A 6710-nucleotide genomic window follows, 5' to 3' on the forward strand; every position below is an offset into this window, starting at 1 on the left:
CTATAGTACAAGCCACTAGCCCGCATCTTAAAACCTCTCATTTCCTTTCCATCGTGGAAATCTATCCTCAAGGAAATAACTTCTCAGTGTTCCATCTGCTATTCTACTACTCCTCAAGGATTATTCAGGCCCCCTCCCTTCCTTACACATCAAGCTCGAGGATTTGCCCCCACCCAGGACTGGCAAATTAGCTTTACTCAACATGCCCCGAGTCAGATAACTAAAATACCTCTTAGTCTAGGTAGACACTTTCACTGGATAGGTAGAGTCCTTTCCTACAGGGTCTGAGAAGGCTGCCGCAGTCATTTCTTCCCTTCTGTCAGACATAATTCCTCAGTTTAGCCTTCCCACCTCTATACAGTCTGATAACAGACCAACCTTTATTAGTCAAATCAGCCAAGCATTTTTTCAGGCTCTTAGTATTCAGTGAAACCTTTATATCCCTTACAGTTCTCAGTCTTCAGGAAAGGTAGAACGGACTAATAGTCTTCTAAAAACACACCTCACCAAGCCACCAACTTAAAAAGAACTGGACAATACTTTTACCACTTTCCCTTCTCAGAATTCAGGTCTGTCCTTGGAATGCTACAAGGTACAGCCCATTTGAGCTCCTGTATAGACGCTCCTTTTTATTAGGCCCCAGTCTCATTCCAGACACCAGACCAACTTGGACCGTGCCCCAAAAAACTTGTCATCCCTATCTTCTGTCTAGTCATACTCCTATTCACTGTTCTCAACTACTCATACATGCCCTGCTCTTGTTTACACTGCCAGTTTACACTGTTTCTCCAAGCCATCACAGCTGATATCTCCTGGTGCTATCCCCAAACTGCCACTCTTAACTCTTAAAGTAAATAAATAATCTTTGCTGGCAAGGCTATGCTGAACCTCCTTAGGCACTCTCTAATTAGATGTCCTGGGGCCTCCCAATTCTTAGTCCTTTGATACCTGTTTTTCTCCTTCTCTTATGCTGTTTAGTTTTTCAATTCATACAGAACTGTATCCAGGCCATCACCAATAATTCTAAATGACAAATATTTCTTCTAACAACCCCACGATATCACCCCTTACCACAAAATCTTCCTTCAGCTTAATCTCTCCCACTCTAGGTTCCCACGCCGCCCCTAAATCCTGCTCGAAGCAGCCCTGAGAAACATCGCCCATTATCTCTCCATACCACCCCCAAAACATTTTCACCTTCCCAACACTTTACCACTGTTTCGTTTTATTTTTCTTATTAATATAAGAAGACAGGAATGTCAGGCCTCTGAGCCCAAGCTAAGCCATCATATCCCCTGTGACCTGCACGTACACATCCAGATGGCCGGTTCCTGCCTTAACTGATGACATTCCACCACAAAAGAAGTGAAAATGGCCTGTTCCTGCCTTAACTGATGACATTGTCTTGTGAAATTCCTTCTCCTGGCTCATCCTGGCTCAAAAGCTCCCCTATTGAGCACCTTGTGACCCCCACTCTGCCCGCCAGAGAACAACCCCCTTTGACTGTAATTTTCCTTTATCTACCCAAATACTATAAAAGGGCCCCACCCTTATCTCCCTTCGCTGACTCTCTTTTCGGACTCAGCCCACCTGCACCCAGGTGAAATAAACAGCCTTGTTGCTCACACAAAGCCTGTTTGGTGGTCTCTTCACACGGACGCACATGAAAATTAGTACTTAGGTTTTTGGGAATCAACAGTTGTGCATGAATTATTGACTGCATGGGGGGTAGGTGCCCACATTGTTCAAGGGTCAACTGTATATACTAAGCCTTGTGTTAAATGTTTTATATTACATTTTATATCAACAATGCTGTGAGCTGCGCTCTATTGTTTTGCGTTTTATACATTTTGCATAAAGTCAATAAGTGACTTGCCCAAAGATCACATATATGTAGTTAAGTGGCAGAGGTAGTATCCATTCCTTCTCTGTCAGTCAGGGTCAACCATAGAAGTAGAGCCAAGAGTTGGCAGGAGTTTCTTCTTCCCTTGAGAAAAACTCAGTTCTGCTTTTAAGGACTTCCAGCTGATTATCCAGGATAAGCCCCTTACCTTAGTCAACTTACTAGGGCTTAATTAAATCTGTAAAATATCCCCACAGCAACACCTAGATCAGTGCTTTTTTGAATTAATTGGAACTGCAGCCTAGTCATGTTGACACTTTAGAAAAGATTAACTGAGAGTCTTTCATCTTTAAAGGTCTGAAAGAAACATTTACCATCTATTCTCTTTGAGGTCTGCTGCCTGTGATGTTTCATTTACATAACAAGACCACCTTTCCCAGATAGGCCTCCTCTTCTTTCCCTCCCATAACCTGTTTTGCCACCATAACCTGATTTACCACCATAACCTGTTTTGGGCCATGCTCCTAGCTCCCATTCTTTCTGTAACTTCAAGATGGTATAAAAGCTTCTGTAACCCATTGAGAGTTGAGGGTAATCACTCTCTGGTCCCACTTCTATGTGACATTAATTAATTTTTATGCTTTTTTCTGCAATTAATCTCCTTTTGTGAATTGATTTTTCAGCAAACCTTCAGAGTGCAAAGGGGCAGTTTTTTCTTTGTTCCCTCTAAGTCCCTGATTAATGGGGGAACTTTTCCAGATGTGGATGGTTTGGAACAAACTTATTTTGAAATGCATGACCTAAATTAATCAGTGTGGGAATGGCATTAGGGTTTGTGGCAGAGGTCAGTGGCCCAGAAGACAGAGGAAAGGTTCTATATACCTCAGTGTGGTAGTATATGGTTCTCATAAATGTAAGAGAAAAATGTGGCCATATTGCATTAAATGCAATAGTATAGTTAGTGTTTCATGTTAGTATTTTCTAACTTACTTCCATGAAATCAACTAGGACATTTGAAGGAATATTTTCTAGCCTTTAAAAATATTTAGCCTTTTGGGGCTCAGAAAATAATATCCCAAAATATGGCTTTTCAGCATGCAGAGTACTTTGAACTAAAGGACATTACAGAGGCTCAGAAGCAGCCTCAGAACCAGCCTCTTTCAGCTTCTTCTGCCCTCCTGTCTCTTGTCCATCATTTTCCCTAAAGTGAGTCATAGAAATCAAAATTCCTCTTCCTGATTGTGGGAAAGAGTTTTATAGAAACTAGAAACTCCTTTTCCCAAACCCAGCCATAAAAACTAGAATTATTACTCTAATATTCCTCTACCTTTCTGTCTAAAAACTGGCCATAAAGAAATTCTCTGACATACCTTGTCTGAAAGTAGACCATAAGATCCTCATTACACAAGGGGTCCTGCCCTGCACCTAGGAAAAAAGGATTGCCACACAGAGAGGCCAAGACAAATCTTGACAGGCCTTGCTGGGTTTTCCCACTCAGTCTATTACTAATACATCATTCACTTATTGTCCAACCACATTTCTACATGGCTGTTCACCCTTCATTTAGTCTAAGCATAAAAATGGAGAGTTTTCTCTTAGGTATTTGGGCTTTTATTTCTGAAGATTCTCATATAACATAAAACTTTAATTAAATATAATCTCTCATACTTTTCTCTTGTTAACTTATCTATTGTTGCTGGAGTGTCAGTTATATCCCTTATGATGGGTAAGGAAACATGTCAAACCTCTCCACCCCTACAAACCCATTCTATCCATTAATAAGCCCATTCCACCCACATTCACAAACTTGCAACAGAGAAAAGATGGGAATATTTAGAATAATATATCCATACAATTTATGTCCCTGTTTACTTTTAATATTTTTGGAGCCCAATTCTCCGGATGTGCTCAAATCAGCCTCTGTAGACTCAGATGTTTTGAAAAGTATTTTGATTGCTAACATCTGGATTTAGAGAAGGACATAGTCTCTTACGAGTACAATGACATGTAAAACCAACAAAACAAAGCCATTTTTCCTTGTAACCACAACATTGCCCTTCATGAAAACCCAAACTAAACATGACATTTAATTTACACTACTGGTGGTTGATTCAGTGACATCTGTACTCCTCAACTGTTCTTAGGCTCATCATGATACACATTTTTTTCTTTAGAAATTAGAGTGGGGACAAGTCAACTCGGGGAACACTCACTATAATTATTGAGGCCAGCATCTTTGCAACAAAGCACATGTCATAATTTTGAGGGTTTCTATACAGTCAGATATTCACTTTTATCTAAGGATACTTTCATTGGCTTGTTTTTTTTTTAACACTTTTTTAGCCTGAATGAAAATATACCTGTTCTCCCATTTTTAGTTGTTCACTGTTACTTTCCAACATGATTTTTTTAGTTGCTTGATTAGTTGTTATGTAATTCTCTGATATTTATACAAATGAATATATTTGATTGTTACATTTTCCACAGCAGTGATTGGATAAATTATTTTTGGAATCTAAATCAATCTTAACTCATGGAGGAGGAAGATTTGACAATTCTCTTGCATTTCTTTTTCTCTTTCTTTTCTATCTTTCATTTTTTCTTCATCTGCTGAATGTCATAGCCACCTCATTAGTTCTGGATAATCTCTTTTCTTTCAACAACGAAAGACCTGTAAGCTCTAAATTTGTCTTGAAATGTCTGTTGCACTGCAGGGTCATTTACTGTGAACCATTTGTAAGGAACATACACCAAATGTTCCAATCAATGTGTACAGATAGGGTCAGGCTAATACAGAAGTGTATTAAAATGGCCGGATGCCAATTTAGTTCATCTTTTGTGAAATCCTGAGTTATTTTCTTGCTACAAACATCAAGATGAAGCCTTTGGAGTTTATTTCTTTCCTTTCTATTACTTTCTTCTATATTTTTATAAAGAATATTCTTAAACTTTTTAAAACTCTACCTGGCCAAATAGTCCATATATACTTTATTAGAGAAAATAGCTTTAAGCCAACTGTAGAATGATTGAAATTTAATTGTTGGTAGCCAAGACAAGTAAATTGTTAATCAATAGGTTTAGGGGAGAATATTAGCTAAAGCTTCAGGCAGTTTCTTATTTACTATAAGCACAATAACCATAATTAATCATCCAGTAAAAAATAATTCTATTTGATCTGTAAGAGAAATGAGAGTTTCATTTCAAGATGTAATTTAGCAAATGTAAGAACTTAAGTAGTAGCGTTACCATGATCAATTAAACAATGCCTTAGATTAGAAGCTGAACCGTTATTTTATTTGTAGTCCAAGGATTAATACTTATATTAAGTTTAGTTGCAAAACTTAAATGACATTTACTGAGAAACCACATGTAGGCTGACATTCCTTTTTTCTTTCATAATTAAGTTAGAATAGATTTGAAGCATGGCAAGGTGTTGCATGTGAATAAACAATATAGGTAAATATTTAAGGAAACAATACTTTAATCTTCCACATAAGACATTTAGAGTAAGAGTCATGATGTGAAAAAGAACAAGCCACTAGTTTGATTTTTTTAAATCCAATTTACTGGTATCAGAGTTTGTATAAACTCCTCCCAGATTCTGGTGTTGAGGCTCAGAACATGATATTCCAAAGTGTGACACTTTGGCTTGCTGTATACTTTGAAGTAAAAGACATTGGAACCATCTCAGAAACAGTCTTTCTGACTTTCTTCCACCCTCCTGTTTTCCATCCCTCTTTCTCCTGCAGTGCAAGTCATAGAAACCAGAATTCTTATTCCTCAAGATGGGTCATAAAAATTAGAACTCTTCTCCCCCAGAGCAAGACATAAAACCTAGAAAGACCATTTTATCCATTTTCCCTTCTCACTTGAAGACCCTCATTTCAGAAGGTTCTTGCCCTATACACTGGAAGAAGGAATATGACATAGACAGGCCAAGAAGAATCTGAACAGACAGGACTTGCTGGGCTTCCCCCTCAGTCTGTTACCATTAGTTCATACCTGACATGGTTTGGCTGTGTCCCCACCCAAATGTCATCTTGAATTCCCACGTGTTGTGGGGGATATCCAGTGGGAAGTAATTGAATCATGGGGGCAGGTATTTCCTGTGCTGTTCTCATGATAGTGAGTAAGTCTCAGGAGATTTGATGGTTATTATAAGGGGAAGTTTTCCTGCATAAGCCCCTTCTCTTGCCTGCCACCATGCAAGACGTGCCTTTAACCTTCCCCCATGATTGCAAGGCTTCCCCAGCCATGTGGAACTGTGAGTTCTCCATTAAACCTCTTTCCCTTTTAAACTGCCCAGTCTTGGGTATATCTTTTTTTTCTTTCTTTTTTTTTTTTTGTTGTTGTTGTTTTGAGATGGAGTCTCACTCTGTCACTCAGGCTGGTGTGCAGTTGCGTGATCTCGCCTTACTGCAACCTCCACCTCCCAGGTTCAAGTGAATCTCCTGCCTCAGCCTTCCAATTAGCTGGGATTACAGGCGCCTGCCACCACGCCTGGCTAATTTTGGTATTTTTAGTAGAGACAGGTTTTACCATGTTGCCCAGGCTGGTCTCAAACTCCTGACCTCAGGTGATCTGCCCGTCTCAGCCTCTCAAAGTGCTCGGATTACAGGCATGAGCCACCGAGTGTGGCCCCTGTATCTTTATCAGCAGCATGAAAACGAACTAATACAGTAAATTGGTACCACTAGAGTGGGGCACTGCTGAAAAGATACCTGAAAATGTGGAAGCGACTTTGGAACTGGGTAATGGGCAGAGGTTGGAATAGTTTAGAGGGCTCAGAAGAAGACAAGAAGATTTGGGAAAGTTTGGACCTTCCTAGAGACTTGTTGAATGGCTTAGACTAAAAGCCTGATAGCAA

The 6710-nt window shown here is 39.4% G+C and overlaps 1 annotated feature.

The window, feature by feature from the left end:
* Positions 1112-1669: an enhancer, noted in NCBI's record as "OCT4-NANOG hESC enhancer chr13:61668018-61668575 (GRCh37/hg19 assembly coordinates)". NCBI's record gives its function as "activates a minimal SCP1, AML or CMV promoter by ChIP-STARR-seq in naive H9 embryonic stem cells {active_cell/tissue: H9 hESC(naive)}" and the evidence as "EXISTENCE:reporter gene assay evidence [ECO:0000049][PMID:30033119]".

This window comes from Homo sapiens, chromosome 13 (assembly GCF_000001405.40).
Source record: "Homo sapiens chromosome 13, GRCh38.p14 Primary Assembly".
NCBI lineage: Eukaryota > Metazoa > Chordata > Mammalia > Primates > Hominidae > Homo > Homo sapiens.